The sequence below is a fragment of the Homo sapiens genome, chromosome 4 (genome assembly GCF_000001405.40).
Source record: "Homo sapiens chromosome 4, GRCh38.p14 Primary Assembly".
Taxonomy (NCBI): domain Eukaryota; kingdom Metazoa; phylum Chordata; class Mammalia; order Primates; family Hominidae; genus Homo; species Homo sapiens.
In genome coordinates this window covers 83001591-83022151 of record NC_000004.12, presented here as the reverse complement: position 1 = coordinate 83022151, position 20561 = coordinate 83001591, and the positions used below count along the sequence as shown (strand labels likewise).

The 20561-nt window shown below is 44.6% G+C and overlaps 1 protein-coding gene and 1 pseudogene across 10 annotated transcripts in view, besides 6 other annotated features; one reads left to right on the top strand and one right to left on the bottom strand.

The window, feature by feature from the left end:
* Nucleotides 8623-9508: an enhancer, noted in NCBI's record as "NANOG-H3K27ac-H3K4me1 hESC enhancer chr4:83933797-83934682 (GRCh37/hg19 assembly coordinates)". NCBI's record gives its function as "activates a minimal SCP1, AML or CMV promoter by ChIP-STARR-seq in naive H9 embryonic stem cells {active_cell/tissue: H9 hESC(naive)}" and the evidence as "EXISTENCE:reporter gene assay evidence [ECO:0000049][PMID:30033119]".
* Nucleotides 8623-9515: a biological region, named in NCBI's record as "NANOG-H3K27ac-H3K4me1 hESC enhancer GRCh37_chr4:83933797-83934682".
* Nucleotides 8886-9015: an enhancer, noted in NCBI's record as "active region_21669". NCBI's record gives its function as "activates an Ori minimal core promoter by ATAC-STARR-seq in GM12878 lymphoblastoid cells {active_cell/tissue: GM12878}" and the evidence as "EXISTENCE:reporter gene assay evidence [ECO:0000049][PMID:35858748]".
* Nucleotides 9186-9515: a silencer, noted in NCBI's record as "silent region_15538". NCBI's record gives its function as "represses an Ori minimal core promoter by ATAC-STARR-seq in GM12878 lymphoblastoid cells {active_cell/tissue: GM12878}" and the evidence as "EXISTENCE:reporter gene assay evidence [ECO:0000049][PMID:35858748]".
* Nucleotides 9211-20561, top strand: part of LIN54 (lin-54 DREAM MuvB core complex component) — an 88339-nt gene continuing 76988 nt past the window's right edge. For 5 of the 10 annotated variants that reach the window (NR_110254.2, NR_110253.2, NM_001115008.3 and 2 more), the window contains exon 1: nt 11329-11668. The gene's annotated coding sequence lies outside the window, so the exon portion shown is untranslated. 10 annotated transcript variants of the gene reach the window in all.
* Nucleotides 11240-11319: a silencer, noted in NCBI's record as "silent region_15537". NCBI's record gives its function as "represses an Ori minimal core promoter by ATAC-STARR-seq in GM12878 lymphoblastoid cells {active_cell/tissue: GM12878}" and the evidence as "EXISTENCE:reporter gene assay evidence [ECO:0000049][PMID:35858748]".
* Nucleotides 11390-11489: an enhancer, noted in NCBI's record as "active region_21668". NCBI's record gives its function as "activates an Ori minimal core promoter by ATAC-STARR-seq in GM12878 lymphoblastoid cells {active_cell/tissue: GM12878}" and the evidence as "EXISTENCE:reporter gene assay evidence [ECO:0000049][PMID:35858748]".
* On the bottom strand, nt 18635-18740 carry RNU6-615P (RNA, U6 small nuclear 615, pseudogene; annotated as a pseudogene).

The window sequence follows — 20561 nt, the reverse complement described above, 5'->3', positions numbered from 1 at the left end:
AGCTTAGGCAATCTGCCCATCTCGGCCTCCCAAAGTGCTAGGCATTAGCCACCTCACCCGGCTGTGTGTAGTATTTCTATGTATGATCCTAGATGATAACCATGAGAAAGCAAGCCTAAGAATAAAGGGAAAGTCTTGAGGATGGTAGCATGCAAAGGAAGTCAATGTCTTTAATGACATCTTTTCTCTGTGGAATTATCTTAGAAAAGCCATTTCTATGCTATTCATTTTATGAGATATAAAGTATAAGCTACTGAAAGCAGCCTAGTTACTACAGATAGTAAGCTACCATTATGTAGCAGAGAGTTTTGTGGGTAGCTTTGTGAGTTCCAGGCCCCAGAATTTTTACACTGGAGGAGCAAAGAGCAGCAGTTTGATTGGATAAGAAAGTTAATGCTATACAGGCATAGCAATTTACATAAGACCACAGTTACTTTTCTATGTCAAAGAAAAGGGTGTTTTCATGGAGAGTTTAAGATGTTGGGCCGGGCGCAGTGGCTCACGCCTGTAATCCCAGCACTTTGGGAGGCCGAGGCGGGCAGATCACGAGGTCAAGAGATCGAGACCATCCTGGCTAACACGGTGAAACCCCGTCTCTACTAAAAATACTAAAATTAGCCAGCTGTGGTGGCACATGCCTGTAGTTCCAGCTACTCGGGAGGCTGGGGCAGGAGAATTGCTTGAACCCAGCAGGTGGAGGTTGCTGAGATCACGCCCATTGCCCTCCAGCCTGGGTGACAGAGTGAGACTCCGTCTCAAAAAAAAAAAAAAAAGATGCTAACGTACTCTAATCCTCTCCTATTGTGCAACACATCCAAGGGGTCTTTATAGTTATCTCTTGTAGTTTGGATCATTGCTCCCAAATCTTTATTTCCTCTCTGTGCTAGAATGATATATCTACACATTTCACATGTACCTTTGCCGTACCTTTCACTAGAGTAGAAAGAATATATTTTTCCTCCTCATTGATGTTGGGCTTTGGACATAGGACTTGTTTTGGCCAATGTAATGTGGACCGAAGTTACAGTGCACCAGTTGGTTGGGGATACGGTAGCCTTAAAAAGGACATCATGGGCCAGGCTCGGTGGCTCACGCCTGTAATCCCAGCACTTTGGGTGGCTGAGGCAGCAAGTGGATTGCTTGAGGACAGGAGTTCAAGACCAGCCTGGCCAATAGGGTGAAACCCTGTCTCCACAAAAAGTAAAAAATTAGCCAGGCATGGTGGTGAACACCTGTAGTCTCAGGTACTTGGCAGGCTGAGGCAAGATAATTGCTTGAATCCAGGAGGCAGAGATTGCAGTGAGCTGAGATTGTACCACTGCACTCCAGCCTGAGCAACAGAGCGAGACTCTGTCTCAAAAAAAAAAAAAAAAAAAAAGGACATCATATTTCTATTCAGTGCTATGTTCTTGGGAGCCACTAGAAGAAAGCATACCCCAGGTTGCTAATGCCCTATCAGCTTGGGCCCCAGAATTAAGATATGTGGAACCCAACCATAAGTCTGGGTTCTAACCTGGCCTAGCTGAGCCCAGCCTAGATCTGTGAACCTAGCCAATTCATGAGAAAAATAAATGCTTGTGTTTATAAGCCATGAAGAATTTTAAGGTGTTTTGTAATAAAACCTCTACCTAGTTTCCAGTTTCCTTAGGGGTAGATATCTTCTTCTCCTGCTGGGTAAAAAGATGGACACATTATCAACTCAGCTGATTAGCAAACTAAAAAAAAAAAAAAAATAGGTACATTCCTTCAAACACATTAAATGCTTTGTGTCCAGATCCAGATGACCAAGGCCTAGAGAGAGTAACCATTTTCCTCTCTAAGTCTGAGCTCCCGTATCATATCTCAAAATGTGTTTCTCTCTTCTCAGGATGACTGACATTAACCATATCTACTTCCTTCAAGGGGACCCACTCCTAATCACAGAAGTGGTTATACCCCTAGCAGCCCAAGTACATCAGAACATTACAGAGAATCCTCTACTTCTATCCTTCTAATTAGAAAAACAAGCAAACAGAAACCTCTATTATATAGACAAAGAAATCTTATTGTGAGAGGAAAAGCAAATGAATCCTGCCTGCCATCAACAGATTATTTTAGTGGTTGATTTTATTTTTTGGGTGGCTTGACATTACTAATAACACTATATTATACAAAGTGAAAAACTCGGGGTATGTTCAAAGTGATACCAGTCTGCATTCCCTTATTCAAAACCCCTGGGGGCAAATGTGCTTTGGAATTGAAAATATTTTGGATTTTAGAGAAGAATATGCAGAAACCATTTTAAAGTTCTCATTTTTTTTTAAATCTTAAAACCAGTTTTAATGGGGTATAATTTACATACGCTAAAATGCATCCATTTTAAGTATACCCAATGAATTTAGGCCATTGTATACCCTTGTACAACCACAATCAGGGTCAAGAACATTCCCAACACCCCAGAAAGTTCCTTCCAATACTTTTGGTCACAATCAAATCCCACAATTAAACACACTGAGATTTTTTTTTTTTTTTTTTGAGACGGAGTCTCGCTCTGTGGCCCAGGCTGGAGTGCAGTGGCGGGATCTCGGCTCACTGCAGGCTCCGCCCCCTGGGATTCACGACATTCTCCTGCTTCAGCCTCCTGAGTAGCTGGGACTACAGGCGCCCGCCACCTTGCCCGGCTAATTTTTTGTATTTTTAGTATAGATGGGGTTTCACCGTGTTAGCCAGGATGGTCTCAATCTCCTGACCTCGTGATCCACCCGCCTCAGCCTCCCAAAGTGCTGGGATTACAGGCGTGAGCCACCACACCCGGCAACACACTGAGATTTCTACACTGACATATGTGAGTATTGACACTAAATGGAATTAAGAATATTAATGCCTTATATCATATTGGGCCAGGTTTTCCCAATAAATAAGCTTGCCATAAGCTTTCAGAAACCTTTTAGTTTTCAAAACATCTTGGATTTTGAAATCATTGGTAAGAAATTATGGGCCTGTTGTAAAAAGAGTTATATCATAATGAAAAAGAAAGGTGATAATTACTCTTACTTATACATGTTAAGTGCTTGTATTAGAGACATCTGGGATTTATGAAAAATGAACTCATGAACAAAGGACCTTCTGAATAATCTTTTGAAAACTAACCTATTTTAAGAAAATTTTATTAGTGTATACTGTGTACCTAACAGTATACCTGGCACATAATAGATACCCAGTAATACATTTTTATTTTTTTCTGTTGATTCTACCCAACTCATATCTCCATACTCCTGTCTTTTTTTTTTTTTTTTTTTTGAGACCGAGTTTTGCCCTTGTCGCCCAGGCTGGAGTGCAATGGCACCATTTCTGCTCACTGCAACCTCCACCTCCCGAGTTCAAGTGATTCTCCTGCCTCAGCCTCCCGAGTAGCTGGGATTACAGGCACGCGCCACCACACCTGGCTAATGTTTGTATTTTTAGTAGAGACGGGGTTTTACCATGTTGGCTAGGCTCGTCTCGAACTCCTGACCTCAGGTGATCCACCCGCCTTGGCCTCCTGAAGTGCTGGGATTACAGGTGTGAGCCACTGTGCTCGGCCTCCTGTCTTTTTTAATATTAATATTTTCCTCAGAAACTTCCTGTGTTTATTTTAAAAAGCTCTAATTTTTTTTCTTGTTTATTGTCTGGCACATCTTCTAGAATTGTCCAGTACTGTAGTAATTAGCACATGTGGCTATTTATTTTTTATAAAGACAGGGTCTCATTCTGTCATCCAGGCTGGAGTGCAATGGTGTGATCATGCCTCGCTGTAACCTTGAACTCCTGGGCTCAAGTGATCCTCTCACCTCAGCCTCCCAAGTAGCTAGGACTTTAGGCATGTGCCACCATGCCTGGCTAATTTTTTTATATCACTTTTTTTGTAGAGAGTGCTTCTCACTATGTTGCCCAGGCTGGTCTTGAACTCCTGGGCTCAAGTGATCCTCCAGCCTCAGCCTCCTAAAGTGCTGGGATTATGGACGTAAACCACCGCTTCAGCCACATGTGGCTATTTAAATTTAAATTAATGGCAATTAAAACGAAAAAGTCAGTTCCTTTAGCCATGCTAGCCACATTTCAGTTGCTTGATAGCCACATGTAGCTAGTGGCTACAGTATCAGATAGTGCAGAATAGTTCCACCATTGCAGAATGTTCCGTTGGACAGAATTGTGCTGTCTTGTTCACCACTTAATTTTTAGTTCCTTGCACAGACGTTGGGATCCAGTAGATAATCAACAAATATTTGCTGAATAAATGTTTTTAGTTCTTCTGGAAACACCATCATGCACATGCAAAGCACAGAGTTTCTTCTGAAATAGATGTTTGAATAGCAGAGATTTTTGGTGGTTTTTTGTTTTTGTTTTTGACAGGGTCTCGCTGTTGCCCAGGCTGGAGTTCTGTGGTGCAATTATAGTTCACTGCAAACTTAAACTGCTGGGCTCAAGCAATCTTCTATCTTAGCCCCCAGGTAGCTGGGACTACAGGTATGTTTCACGATGGCCAACTAATTTTTAAATTTTTATTTTGTAAAGACGAGGTCTTGCTATGTTGACCAGGCTTTTTTTTTATTATTATTATTTTATTATTTTTATTTTTTTGAGACAGGGTCTTACTCTGTTGCCGAGGCTGGAGTGCAGTGGTGGGATCTCGGCTCATTGCAACCTCTGCCTCTTGGGTTCAAGCGATTCTCCTGCCTCAGCCTCCCTAGTAGCTAGGATTACAGGCATGCACCACCACGCCCGGCTAATTTTTTGTATTTTTAGTAGAGACGGGGTTTCACCATGTTGGGCAGGCTGGTCTCGAATTCCTGACCTCACATGATCCGCTTGCCTCGGCCTCCCAAAGTGCTGGGATTACAGGCATGAGCCACTGCATCTGACCTAAAATGATTTATTTGAAAAAGTAAGGCCGGTCGCAGTGGCTCACGCCTGTAATCCCAGCACTTTGGGAGGCTGAGGCGGACGGATCATGAGGTCAGAATATTAGAGACCATCCTGGCTAACACGGTGAAACCCCGTCTCTACTAAAAATACAAAAAATTAGCCGGATGTGGTGGCATGTGCTTGTAGTCCCAGCTACTTGGGAGGCTGAGGCAGGAGAATCGCTTGAACCCGGGAGGCGGAGGTTGCAGTAAGCCAAGATTGAGCCACTGCACTCCCAGCTTGGGCGACAGAGCGAGACTCTGTTTCAAAAAAAAAAAAAAAAAAAAAGTAAAAGATTAGATTAGATTCAGACTCTATTTAGTTTTGATTATTAATAGCTTTCAGACATTGGGTGCTTACTATATGCCAGGCACTGTTCTCAGTGTTTTACACATATTACCTCATTAATTTTCACAACAACCTTATGATGTATGCACTAGTCTCAATTTACAGATAAGGACGCTGAGACATAAAGAGGAAAGTAACTTGTCCAAGTTCACAGAGCTATTATGTGGAGGGCCAGGATTTAAGCCCAGGCTGTCTGGCTCCAGGTGCCAAGCAATTTACTGTAACACTTTGAACTCTTTATGATTATCTTTAATAAGGGCATTTATTTATTTATTTATTTATTTATTTATTTATTTATTTATTTTTGAGACAGAGTCTTGCTCTGTCGCCCAGGCTGGAGTGCAGTAGCGTGATCTCGGCTCACTGCAAGCTCCGCCTCCCGGGTTCATGCCATTCTCCTGCCTCAGCCTCCCGAGTAGCTGGGACTACAGGCGCCCGCCACCACACCCGGCTAATTTTGTATTTTTAGTAGACACGGGGTTTCACCGTGTTAGCCAGGATGTTCTCGATCTCCTGATCTCGTGATCCACCCGCCTCGGCCTCCCAAAGTGCTGGGATTACAGGCGTGAGCCACCGCGCCCGGCCAATAAGGACTTTTAAAATGAACTCTTTATGAGGCCGGACGCGGTGGCTCACACCTGAAATCCCAGCACTTTGGGAGGCTGAGGAGGGTGGCTCATGTGAGGTCAGGAGTTCGTGACCAACCTGGCCGACATGGTGAAACTCCATCTCTACTAAAAATATGAAAAAAAAAATTAGCTGGGTGTGATGGCCCCCGAGCCTGTAATCCCAGCTACCTGGCACTCTGCCTGAGGCAGGAGAATCACTTGAACCCGGGAGGCGAAAGTTGCAGTGGGCCGAGATCGAGGAACTGCCTTCCAGCCTGGCCAGAGCAAGACTCAAAAAACAAAACCAAACAAAAATAGGAAAAATAACTCTTTATGATTGTTTTTATTTTCATTTATTTTTATTTTTATTTTTAGACAGAATCTTGCTCTGTCCCAGGCTGGAGTGCAATGGTGTGATCTTAGCTCACTGCAACCTCTGCCTCCCGGATTCAAGCTATTCTCCTGCTTCAGCCTCCCGAGTAGCTGGGATTATAGGCGCCGGCCACCACACCTGGCTAATTTTTATATTTTTAGTGGAGATGGGGTTTCACCATGTTGGCCAGGCTGGTCTTGAACTCCTGACCTCGTGACCCACCTGCCTCGGCCTCTGAAAGTGTTGGGATTACAGGTGTGAGCCACCGCGCCTGGCCCCTATGATTATTATTTTTTTTTATTGTTTATTGTTTTGAGACGGGAGTCTCGCTCTGTCGCCCAGGCTAGAGTGCAGTGGCGCGATCTCGGCTCACTGCAACCTCCGCCTCCTGGGTTCAAGCAATTCTCCTGCCTCAGCCTCCTGAGTAGCTGGGATTACAGGTGCCCGCCACCACGCCCAGCTAATTTTTGTATTTTTAGTAGAGACGGGGTTTCACTATGTTGGTCAGGCTGGTCTCGAACCCCTGACCTTGTGATCCACCTGCTTCGGCCTCCCAAAGGGCTGGGATTACAGGCATGAGCCACTGTGCCTGGCCTGATTATTTTTAATAAGGACCATTTAGTCTCCTTCTTCCTTTATATTATACCTCTTCTTTCATTTTTTCTTATTTAACTTAGCTAGGACACACTCAAAAACGGTAAACAGCTACTATATCCCTGCCTCCTTATTGAGTTTCTGATTTTAAGGTGAAAGCCTCTGCCATTTCACTGAAATGTATGGTGTTGTTCTCTGATGATTATCTTGATCCAATTAAGGAAACATTCTTTTATTTCTAGTTTACTAAGAATTTAAAAAATTCAGGGTGGTTATTGAATGTTATACAATGTATCTCTAGAGACTATCATTTGGTTTTTCTCCTTCAATCTAATAAATTACACTAGTAGATTTCTTAATGTTAAATCACTGTTTCGGTTAAACCATATACTTTGTCATGATGTAAATTCTTTTTACTACCACATTGCTGGAATTTGATAACATCTTTTTTTTTTTTTTTTAAAGAGTCTCACTCTGTTGCCCAGGCTGGAGTGCGGTAGTATGACCTCGGCTCATTGCAAACTCTGCCTCCCGGGTTCAAGTGATTCTCCTGCCTCAGCCTCCTGGGTAGCTGGGACTACAGGCGCATGCCACCACGCCCGGCTAATTTTTGTATTTTTAGTAGAGACAGTGTTTCACCATGTTGGCCAGGCTAGTCTCAAACTCCTGACCTCAGGTGATCCACCTCCCTCAGCCCCGCAAAGTGCCAGGATTACAGGTGTGAGCCACTGCGCCCGGTCTGATAACTTCTTAATTCTTTTTATTTAAAAAAATTTTTTTTGTAGAGATGAAATCTCACTATGTTGCCCAGGCTGGTCTCAAACTCCTGGTCTCAACCCATCCTCCTGCCTCAGTCTTCCAAAGTCCTGCGATTACAGGTGTGAGCCACAGCACCAATAACAACTAAATACTCAATTTTGCCTTCATAACAAAATCATAGCAAGAAAGGAAGTTTCCCTTCTCTTTTTTGGGTACTGTTTGTCTTGGGTTTTAGTATAAGAGTTATGCTGCCTTGTGGAATAAACTGGGAAAGGGTCTCCTTTTTTTGAGATATTTTGGTCTCTCTAAAATCTAGCCAGTTTTGGGTACCCCATCTCATTCTTTTCTTCCTTCCAGTGGTGCCCCAACAGCACCATCAATCATTTTACCATGAGGATTTCTCACACTAGCTCTCAAGGTTCCTCATAAAGTGGGCTCACAATGCTGATCTCCAACAAAGCCTTTGTGTCATTCAACTTTATCACATTACTTACACATGTCACAGACCTTCCCATTTTCAAGGCTTTGCTAATTTCATGACATTTGCCTTGTTAAATCCTGACTATTAGTGTTTGGGCTGGTACTGGGTGTTGATTATGGCACAAGGGAACTAACATTTCAGGCAGAGACTGTGTACCTGCTTAACACCCTTCATTTTATTTAACCATCAGAATCCTGGGAAGTTTTGTTATTTTTATTTGCTGGATAGGAAAATAAACGTTATACAATATACACTAATAAACGGAGGTGCCATTAAATACCAGTACTGCTTGATTCCAAAGTGACTGCTGCCTCCCCTACACTGTTTCACCTCCTCCATTATGTTCCCGAGGTAGTCTCTCATGCTGACCTGTATGTCCTCCGTACTCCATTAGCAAATTATACACTGTATCGCACCATCTTACATTTACACTCTTGTATTTTCTATTTTCGTATATGTAGTGCTTGTCGCACTCACAGCAGTTGATAATAATCTCTCAGAATAATTTTTTTTTCCCCTCAGAATGATCTGTCAGCGTCTGTTCATCCGACTCCGTATTTGGATATCATATAAATCGCGGGAAAAAATAAAAGGTGATTAAATACAAATAATTTTGACTGTGTTAGTCTTAGCTGCGTGTTGCAAGAAATGCAAAACGTCTTTCAAAATAAGTTTAACTCTCAATGAATCTCCCTGTGGCTTTTTAGCGACACTGCAAAACTAGTGCCTAAAAACACAGTGACTTGGCATTTGTGACTACTGATCACCTCCTCACTCAAGCACATCAAACAGCGGGATATCCTGGAAGTCGCACCTACAACCCGGACTTCCTAACAAGGAAAGCTAGACGAAGGGACGGTCTCTCCCAACCGCAGCGCGATGCGGGTCCTCCCCCCATCAGCTTCAGTCCGATGGAACATTCCGTGCGATCGCTTTGACCGGGCGCCACTCGGCGTCACGTGGAACTGGAGCGCCCTGGCGGAGCCCGGCGGAATGACGCGGGCTTGGGTTGCCAAGGGGAGGGACGAGGCGCCGCGGAAGAGGCGGAGCGAAGGAAGCCGGCCGTGGGGCGGGGTGCGGAGCGCAGGGGCGGGCAGAGAGGGGCGCGCGGGCGGGGAGGGCCCAGCGTATTATGGGATGCGGCGGTGGAATGGGGCTGGGCGCGTGATTTTGAACAAACCCTGGTCTGTGTCTCGGAGGCGCCGCCGCCGCCGCTGCTGCTGGGAGCCCAGGGAGCGCCGCGCGACCAGGAGGCGGCGGCGCCGCCGGCTTTGGTGAGTGTCAGCCCCCGGGATGGGGGCTCCTGGGCGGGCTGGCGGGAAGGGGGAACCGGCCCCCGCTGCGAGTGCCTGCGCGGGCGGAGAGCGCTGGACCGCTCCCTCCGGGAGCCCGGGCCGGTGGGCCTTGGCGGGGAGCGGGAACCCGCCAGCGGGGTCCGCCGCGCCCCTTCCCTGAAGCTGGGTTGCGGGGGGCGAAGGATCCTTGGGGCTCGGTCTCTTCCCGTCGGCTCCCGAGAGGGTGGCTGTCACCCGGCAGGGCCAGCGCTCGGCCAGCCGCCTGCCCGGCGGTCTGGAGTAAGGGCTCCTGCGGCTGTTGACACGCACACTGCGCGACCCAACAAGCCACCCGTGGCGGCCCCAGGTTTCTGGGAACCGGTTTTGCTGCTGTGTCATTTTGTGCCAGTCCCTCCTCTCCCTACTGCCCGCCGCCGCGTTCTTCCTATGCCCCTTTGTACAGGCTCTTGTTCGTGCGTGTCCGTTTTCCTCGCGAAGCCCACCAGCCAAATGTCATAATGTTCCCGAGGTGCACGGGGGAAGGGAGCGGGCCGGGACTTAGCTTGGCCAGCAACGGTAAACAACCAAGCAGAGTGCGGATGGACGGGGCCGTCAGTGGGGAAATGAAGTTTAAAGATGAAGTAATTGAGAACACTTTATACTCTCAGCATCTGGTAGTCTGCATATAAAAACAGCAATTGGGGTGGGTGGTGGACAGCCCTTGTTGAAGGCTGAATCTACCGACTTTTATATGGAGTTGCCATTGAAACAAGGTAGGGAAATGAAATGACTTTTTCAACTTCAACTTCAACCTTACTCTTCCTACACTAACTTAGACAGTAGAGTGGCCCTGTTCGCAGCCTTGAAATTCAGTTTGCCCAGAGCTTATGTTGTGGTTGAATGATACAGAATTCAGCTTTTGGATGGTTAACTCTTTCTAAAATTGACAAAGGCAGCCAGTTTCCTTTTTTTTTTTTTTTAATGCTGATCTCTTCAGAAGCCTTGCAGCTTATGTTTTGTTATTTTTTAAATGATTAAGAATTACCTCTGTTCTCTTTTGGTTACTTATTCAACTGACTGATGACAAGAGCTGGTAACTCTTACCTACCTAGTAGGTAGCTCTAGGATCTTGTTCTGAAGCAAGCTGTTTATTTTTACTGTACAGAACAAATATATCAGCAGCAGATGGTTTTTTTTTAATTTGATGACTTAGATCCTAAAAAAACATTTGGCAAATAATTTTAGCTAAGAGTTATATTTTCAATATTTTAGAAATCGATCATTCATGAATGTTTCTACAATTAGTTCAATCATTTCAAATCTAGTTGCGCTTTGACGTCTTAAACCGATGACAGATTGGAAGTCGCAGTGTTCATGGACAGAAATGACCAGATAAATTAAGTTGGAGAGGAAGATAGCTCAGAACTTTATTTTTTTAAATTAGATATTTTGACCACTTCATCTGCATGAGGATTGCTGCCTGTAATTGACAAAGGTGTCAAAGGTCGAACATGCATATGGAAATAGCTCATCCTGTCAAAGTAGTTCTGCGGGTGGGGTAAAATGTCAAAGTTGGTGAATGACATTAAAGGTCTTTCACAGTGTTTTTAGTGCCTGAGATAGCCACAGTGAATGAAACGCATTCCACCATCTCTCTCAAGTTGCTGCTCTGAAAATGAAAGAGTTTGGGTTCTTTATTGTCCTTATGCCACCCTCCGCATGGCTTTTGGTCTTGCAAACAAAAATATGCCGGACTTGGGACCCCGCAGGTGGCGCGACTTCCTTTGGCGTCCCTGCGGGGGCCCGTGCTCCGCCCGGGGGTGAAAGGTCTCGGCGTAGCCCGTGTGCACTTGCACGGCCCTTGTGCGTTTGAAGGTTGGCGGGGCGGCGGGAGGCTTCCCCGGATATGTGGGTGTGCGCCTCCCGGGTGGGGCGGGCGGGGAGGGGAGGAGGAGGAAGGGGGAGGTTACTGGTGGTGGCGGCGGCGGCGGCGGCCCGGGCTCCGGCTGTCGGGGAAGCTGCTGAGCTGTGATGGTGATGACGAGGTGAAAATGGCGGATCTTTCGAAATACAATCCCGGCCCCTGACATACCAGAGGCGGCGGCGACGGCGACGTCGCCACCCCGGCTCCCTTCTCGGTCCCCGGGTACCCTGGAGCGCTCCAGTTTGGACAAACTGGGAAAGGAAGCTGCTGGCCAGAGCTATCGTGCACGGGCAAAACAAGCCCCGCCGGGGCTCGGGATTGCCCAGGACCTTCTGGAGCCCCTACCTCGGAGCCCGAGGGAGGAGAAAGCGGCAGCCGCTGGAGGTAGAGGAGGATGGGGTACCCGAGGGCTTCTCTGTCCGGAGATCTCTTTATTTGGGGGGATGGGGGTGGGTGGGGAAAGAATTGCGCGGTGGATCAAGGAATGACTTGTCCGGAGTGCGAAGAATCAGTAGCCTCGTCATGACATCAACATTATTCTTTGAGTGTTAAGAGGGCTCCAGTTTGCTCTTATACCTAAGGCTGCTGCTGAGGCCTAGAGGAACCGCTAGCACTTATCATGATTTCCTGATATAATGTTTAAAACAGCCACTCTGGCGGGTGTTGCTTTGATGGTGTTCAGCAGTTCTTGGGGTTGTACGTTTCTTTAGGGAGGCAGAGCATTGGCATTTTATCTGCATTTAAGATCTGTGTCTTAGATCCTAGTCTGTAACTTGTTGGGTTGTGGATGTTCACATTTTATAGAATAGGGACCAGTTTTGTAAGAATTAGAAAAAAAATTTTTAATGCTCTGTTATCCTTAGAGTAACTAACCTCTTTGCCCCTGCCATTTGGCATATAACAATTGAGATACTCTCAGTTATATTTTATACTCATGCTTTTCAGGGAAGTTCTTCTCTATACTCACCCTCCTGCCCCCGCCAACCTAGTTCATGAATTCAGAGAGTAAAGTTATGAAAAATTTTGCTGTAGATTTTATAATGCAAATGAAATACAGCTCTAGGAGCTCTCTTTTGGTCCTGAGTTTTACCTTCATTGTTAAGAAGGAGAGTTGCGATGGGGTGATGCAAGCATTTGTTGTGAGTACATTAAGTTGGGAAAAATAAATTGAGACCTCTGTTATTTCTAAATCACTAAATGCTGGAGTGATTAGCCTAGCCCTTTGTTTAGAGAGCTGGATTGATTGACTATAACAGCCACTGTTTTATTAGGTTATCTGAAGACCCATGTTAAGTTTTAGGTTATGCTGAAAGATCCGTAAGGAGTCTGTCTCCTTGCACACAACACTAGTGTTACAGAAAAGTTACATGTGAATCAAATTTTTAGGCTGGGCAAAAAAATTTTTATACATTAATTTGGACCCTATGCTTTTCCCCCAGCTTTTTTGGGTCAATGACATTGAGTGTATAATGAACAGAAGGATTAGTATTGAGGAATGCCCATGGGTAATGTTTATGATTAGCCCTAAATTTCCGTATTCAAATTGTCTACAGAGAGTATATGTGATATTATTTCCTTATTCAAATTGTCTACAAAGAGTATATGTAACACACTGTGCCATAGTGTGTCATATATCACAAATTTTGTAGTTTACTTAGAGGGGAAATATTTTGTGTGAATAGGTGTGTATAGTTTGTAGGTCTGGCTTTCACTTACTAGAAGAATAAGAGACCCAAAAAAATTTTTAGGAGAAATACCTTAGAGGTACTCAGAAGGTTTAATGATGACGATAATGATTATTTTTTAAAAATAATTTGTCTGATGCTGTATTATTCAGTAGGTATTTGGTTTTGTCTTTTTAAAATTACAGTTTTTATGTTGCAGTTATTTGACCCATGCCTTATAGCTGCTGACTCAGTAGTAAGACTAAGAATTTTAAAAATAATTAAAATAGGGAGATTAAAAAGCTTTTTCATTGGCTTTCTTTTAATCACAGAGGGCTATTGTCTCTTTGTGATTCTTTGTGATTGTCTTTAAAGACCAGTTTTCAGATTGTCCTGGTTAGAACAATTGTGTATTAATAATTAAAAGTGTGTTAGAAATGAAGCAAGAATTATACCACCAGAGATAGTCCAGTGTTCATTTTTTGGGGGAAGAGTATTATAGATTTTCACTACTTTTTCTTTATTTTTTTCCAAGGCAGAGTTTCACTCTGTCGCCCAGGCTAGAGTGCAGTGGCGCAGGCTAGAGTGCAGTGGCGCGATCTTGGCTCCCTGCAAGCTCCGCGTCCTGGGTTCACGCCATTCTCCTGCCTCAGCCCCCTGAGTAGCTGGGACTACAGGCGCCCGCCACCACGCCGGGCTAATTTTATTTGTATTTTTAGTAGAGACGGGGTTTCACCATGTTAGCCAGGAAGGTCTCCATCTCCTGACCTCGTGATCCACCCACCTCGGCCTCCCAAAGTGCTGGGATTACAGGCGTGAGCCACTGCGCCCGGCCGATTTTCACTACTTTTTCAAACATTATTATTGGGTGTCTATTAGGTGTCATATAGTATGCTAGGGATAGTGGATAAAATAACCTCAATATCATTACTTCAGGGAACTTTCAATTTAAGAATCACTGGAGGTGAAGTTGGAAGGATCAATTCAGTGGGGTCTTGCTGCAGAAGGCCTTAAGAGTTACAGAAAATGTAACTTAGTGTAGGATAATGACAATCTCAGAGATATACTTCAGAAGATAAATCTTGTACATGTAGCTTTTATGTAGAATGCATTGTAGGTAAGGGGAGATGGAGGTAAAAACACCATAGTAGGCTTCAGGAGTTGGAGATTTAGACACAATTGGTTACAGGAGGATAGAGTCATGGTGAAGGTGTAATCTGCATGATATATGACAGATTAATATTTCTATGGAAAGAGAGATGTCAAAGATAATACAATTGTAAGCCCTGGTGTTTGATAGAATTTTTTTTTTTTTAAATGAGATGGGTTCTCACTCTGTCACCCAGGTTAGGGTGCAGTGGATCTCAGCTCACTGCAACCTCCGCCTCCCAGGCTCAAGTGATAATCCCACCTTAGCCTGGTGAGTAGCTGGGACCACAGGCTTGGGCCCCCACGCTCGGTTAATTTTTTGTATTTTTGGTAGAGACAGGGTTTCACCATGTTGGCCAGGCTGGTCTCAAACTCCTGAGCTCAGGCGATCTACCTGCCTCACCCTCCCAAAGTGTTGAGGTTACAGGCGTTAGCCACCACGCCTGGCCATTTAGTAGACTATCGGATGCCGTAAAACCACAGAGAAATCAGGAGGAGAAGCTAATTTAGATAAACAGGAAAATAACTTTGAGTTACAGCATACCTCATAACTATCTTCACAGTAACCCTATAAGTAAATGAAGCTCAGAGATGTTATTATTGACTTGGATTACATGATAAGCAACTAGGAGAGCCATGATTTGGAAACAGGTCTTTTCTGATTTGAATCTCCATGTTTTTTCCATCATGTTAATCATAAGCATGAATAATATAAAGTTCCCTTTTTTATTTTTGTATATTTGTTCAGTTTTATAGGCTGGTTTATTCTCATTCTCGGGTACAATGCCTATCCCTTGGTACATAACCCTATTCATTGAGTATGTGAATAAATGAATAGCATTTATTTGTTATTTCACTCAGTTATATAATTTCTTTTTATTTATTTATTTATTTTTATGTATTTATTTGTTTTTTGAGACGGAGTTTCACTCTGTTGCCCAGGCTGGAGTGTAGTGGTGTGATCTCCGCTCACTGCAGCCTCCACCTCCCGGGTTCAAGCGATTCTCTTGCCTCGGCCTCTCGAGTAGCTGGGACTACAGGTGCCCGCCACCATGCCTGGCTACTTTTTGTATTTTTAGTAGAGACGGGGTTTGACCATGTTGGCCAGGCTGGTCTCAAACTCCTGACCTCAGGTTATCCACCAACCTCAGCCTCCCAAAGTACTAGGATTACCGATGTGAGCCATCACGCCTGGCCCATTTCTTTTTATTATGTTGTTAATTCACACCCTTTGAAATACATTGTGAAATTCATGTAATTATCATGTAGCAAAGACTTTATGGAAAGTAAGTTACAAAGTTAAGGAAGCTCACCTAAATAGAATGGGAGTAGTGCAGCAGATCTTCATAATACATTTAAATATAAGTGGTAGAAGCTCAAATTTAAATACTATATACTTGAACATAGACTTTAAAGGTATGTGACTAATTTGGAATTCACCTTTTTTTTTCAGCTTTTATTTTAGATTCAAGGCATACATGTGCAGGTTTGTTACCTGGGTATTATTGCATGATGCTGAGGTTTGGAGTATGAATGGTCCTGTCACCCAGGCACCGAGCATAGTATCCAATAGTTTTTCTTTTTTTTTTTCTTTTTTTTTTTTTTTGAGACGGAGTCTCGCTCTGTCACTCAGGCTGAAGTGCAGTGGTGCAATCTTGGCTCACTGCAACTTCTGCCTGCCAGGTCCAAGCGATTCTCCTGCCTCAGCCTCCCGAGTAGCTGGGACTACAGGCGCATGCCAGCATGTCTGGCTAATTTTTTGTATTTTTAGTTCAGATGGGGTTTCACCGTGTTAGCCAGGATGATACTGCTCTCCTGACCTCATGGTCCGCCCACCTCAGCCTCCCAAAGTCCTGGGATTACAGGCGTGAGCCACTGCACCCAGCCAATAGTTTTTCAACCATTGATCCCCTCCCTACGTCCCCAGTAGTCCCCAGTTTCCATTGTTGCCATCTTTATGTTCATAAGTACCTAGTGTTTAGCTCCCACTTATAAGTGAGAATATGCGGTATTTAGTTTTCTGTTTCTGTGTTAATTTGCTTAGGATAATGGCCTCCAGCTGCATCCATGTTGCTTCAAAGGACACGGTTTCTTTCTTTTTTTATGGCTACGTAGTATTTCATAGTGTATATGTACCACATTTTCCTTATCCAATCACCACTGATGGGCACCCAGCTTGTTTCCATGTCTTTGCTCTTGTGAGTAGTGCTGCGATGACCATGTGGGTGCATGTGTCTTTCTGGCATAAACATTTGTTTTCTTTTAGATATGTACCCAGTAATGTGATTGCTGGGTCAAATGGTCAAATTCTTTTAGAAATCACTAAGATGCTTTCTACAGCTGAACTAATTTACATTTTCACCAACAGTGTATACGTGTTCCCACGGCCTCGCCAGCATCTATTTTTTGACTTTTTTTTTTTTTTTTTCTGAGATGGAGTCTTGCTCTGTCGCTGAGGCTGGAGTGCAGTGGCATGATCTTGGCTCACTGCAACCTCTGCCTCCCGTGTTCAAGTGATTCTCGTAGCTCAGCCTCCTAACTGGGACTACAGGTGCACTCCACCATGCCCAGATAATTTTTGTAGAGATGGGCTTTCCCCATGTTGGCCAGGCTGTTCCGGAACTCCTGGCCTCAAGTGATCCGCCTGCCTTAGTTCTCCAAAGTGTTGGGATTACAGGCGTGAGCCACCGTGCCCGGCCCCTGTTTTTTGATTTTTTAATAATAGCAATTTACAGTTCCCTTTTAAAGGAAAAAAAAATTGTGAATCTCCAGTATTGTCCTAACTTATTTTATTAAGATATTTACTTTTTAAGATAGATATAAATATAAAACCAAGTATAAATCAAAAGTAAATTTATAGGCCAGGTGCGGTGGCTCATGCCTGTAATCCTAGCACTTCAGGAGGCCGAGGTGGGTGGATCACCTGAGGTCAGGAGTTGGAGACCAGCCTGCCCAACATGGCAAAACCTCGTCTCTACTAAAAAATACAAACATGAACCGGGCATGGTGGTGGGTGCCTGTAATGCCAGCTACTTGGGAGGCTGAGGCAGGAGAATTGTTTGAACCTGGGAGGCAGAGGTTGCAGAGAGCTGAGATCGCGCCACTGCACTCCAGCCTGGGCGACAGAGCCAGACTCTGTCTCAAAAACAAACAAAAAGTAAATTTATAAATCTAATGTAAACAAAACTGTAAAACCAATGTAAAAAAAATTAAACTTAGGGTGATGGATGATGTTGTTTTGCTTAAACAATCTTTGGGTCAGGCACAGTGGCTCACACCTGTAATCCCAGCACCTTGGGAGGCCAAGGTGGCAGGATAGCTTGAGTCCACGAGTGCAAGACCAGCCTGGGCAACGTAGCAAGACCTTGTCTCTACAACAAATACAAAGAAAATTGGCCAGAGTGTGATGGCTTGTGCTCGTTCTGTAGTCCCCGCTACTCGGGAGGCTGAGGTGGGAGGATCACTTGAGCCCAGGTGTCCGAGGCTGCAGTGAGCCATGATCTTGGCATTGCACTCTAGCCTGACGACAGAGCAAGACACTATCTCAAAACAAAACAAAAATGTATTTCTTTCCATAGTGAATATACTAGGGTCTGTCCTAGCGCAGATGTGCAGTTTTCTTTTTCTTTCTTTCTTTCTTTTTTTTTTTTTTTTTTGCAACGGAGTCTCACTCTGTCACCCAGGCTGGAGTACAGTGGCGCGATCTTGGCTCACTGCAACCTCCGCCTCCCAGGTTCAAGCGATTTTCCTGCCTCAGCCTCCCAGGTAGCTGGGACTACAGGTGCCCACCACCACTCCCAGCTAATTTTTTTGGTATTTTTAGTAGAGACGGGGTGTCACTGTATTGGCCAGGCTGGTCTCAAACTCCTGACCTCGCAATCTGTCCACCTCAGCCTCTGAAAATGCTGGGATTACAGGCATAAGCCACCGCACCCGGCCTGTTTTCTACATACTCTATATCCTATGATGACTCAATTTCTACACCACTCTTCTGTGTTTGAATGCTGCAAGTCTTTCTTTCTTAAATCTCAGGTTAAGTGGTTTGGCTTTTATTTGGCATAAATATGTCATTTATTTTATAAGTCCATTTTGTGCCTTTTTCTTTAGCTCATCTGAATTCTTGTACATTGATTTTGGATGTGATGTGGTTATTCAGATGATCCAGAATGTACTTTATAAAAATACTATTGAAATGAAAATACAAACCTTTCTTTTTTAAAAAAAAATTAGGTCAGGTGCAGTAGCTCATGCCTGTAATTCCAGCACTCTGTGAGGCCGAGGTGGGTGGATGGCTTGAGCTCAGGTGTTTGAGACTAGCCTGGGCAACATGGCGAGACCCCGTCTCTAGAAAAACTAGACAAATTAGCTAGTCATGGTGGTGCACACCTGTAGTCCCAGCTACTTCAGAGGCTGAGGTGGGAGGATCACTTGAGCCCCCAGGTGGAGGTTGCTGTGAGCCAAGATTGCGCCACTGCATTCCAGCCTGGGCAACAGAGTGAGACTCTGTCTCAGAAAAAATTTATTGTTTTAATTTGTTTTTTTCATGGAACACTTCACAAATTTGCATGTCGTCCTTGTGCAGGGGCCATACCAGTCTTCTCTGGGAAATACAAACCTTTCAAAACTTCATCAGAACTCATGGCTTATAGTCTACTGCTCCCAGTTTAGTTTGAGAAATATAGTTCTATAACTGGTTTTTTAGTTGTTGATGTTTTATTTTAGAAATAAAAGCTAAAATCTGGCCGGGCGAGGTGGCTTACACCTGTAATCCCAGCACTTTGGGAGACCGAGCTGGGCGGATCAATTGAGGTCAGGAGTTCAAGGCCAGCCTGGCCAACATGGTGAAACCCTGTGTCTACTAAAAATACAAAAAATAAGCCAAGCGTGGTGGCACACGTCTGTAATCCCAGCTACTCAGGAGGCTGAGGCGGGAGAATCACTTGAACTTGGGAGGCGGAGGTTGCAGTGAGTGGAGATCACGCCACTGCACTCCAACCTGGGTGACAGAGCAAGACTCCATCTCACACTCACAAAAAAAAGCTTAAATCTAAGTGGTATAGTTAACCAGTTAATGCTGGTAGTAAGCTCTAGGTACAAAAAATACAGTTGACCCTTGAACAATGTGGGGATTAGGGACACCAACCCCAAGCAGTCATATCCACATATGCATATAATGTTTGAATCCCCAAAAACTTAACTACTAATAGCCTATTGTTGACCAGAAGCCTTACGGATAACATACATAGTTGATTAACACATATTTTGTATATTTATTACATATCATATTCTTACAATAAAGTATGCTAGAGAAAAAATGTTATTACAAAAACCGTAAGGAGGAGAAAATATAGTTACTGTTCATGAACTGAAGTGGATCATCATAAAGGTCCTCATCCTTGTCTTCATGTTGAGGAGGCTGAGGAAGAGCAGCGGTAGGTCTTGCTGTCTGGAGTGGCAGAGGCAGAAGAGGTGGAGGAGGTAGATGAGGAGACAGGAGAGGTGGGCACACTTGATGTAACTTTATGGAAATACATTGTAATTTCTGTCTAACTTTTTTTCCCCTGCCTCCCTCCCTCCTTCCCTCCTCCCTCCTTCCTCCTTCCCTCCCCTCCTCCCTCCCTCCCTCCTTTCTATCCCTCCTTCCTTCCCTCCTTCCTTCCTTCCTCCCTCACCCTTGCTTTTTTTTTAGAGGTGAGGTCTCGCTATGTTGCTGGTCTTGAACTCCACCTGGGCTTAGGCGATCCTCATGCCTCAGTCTCCCAAGTAGCTGGGATTAAAGGCATGCACCACTATGCTTGATTTCTCTAAAAATATTTCTCTGTGGTAGCAAGCTTTTTTTCACTGTTTGCTTTAGCTTCATTGTGTGTATCGTAGAAGGGTCCATGTCATAAAAAATTTCAAAAGCAGTCTTGAATAATGCCGATTGTCTACTGTCAGTTCGTTTTCTGTGCTTCTTCTACATCTTCTTTCTCATTGTCTGGCACTAGTTCGGAAGCACTCATCTCCATCAAGTTGTCCCCTGTTAATTCCTCTGCTATGGTATCTGTTAGCTCTTGAATTTCTCCAAGATCCCTCCCTTCCTTCCTTCCTTCCTTCCTTCCTTCCTTCCTTCCTTCCTTCCTTCCCTCCCTCCCTCCCTCCCTCCCTCCCTCCCTCCCTCCTTCCTTCCTTCCTTCCTTCCTTCCTTCCTATCCTTTTTTTTTTTTTGAGACAGAGTCTTGCTCTGTCGCCCAGGCTGGAGTGCAGTGGTGCGATCTTCGCTCACTGCAAGCTCTGCCTCCCGGGTTCATGCCATTCTCCTGCCTCAGCCTCCCTGGTAGCTGGGACAACAGGCGCCCGCCACCACGCCCAGCTAATTTTTTTTTGTATTTTTAGTAGAGACGGGGTTTCACCATGTTTGCCAGGATGCTCTTGATCTCCTGACCTCGTGATCTGCCTGCCTCGGCCTCCCAAGGTGCTGGGAT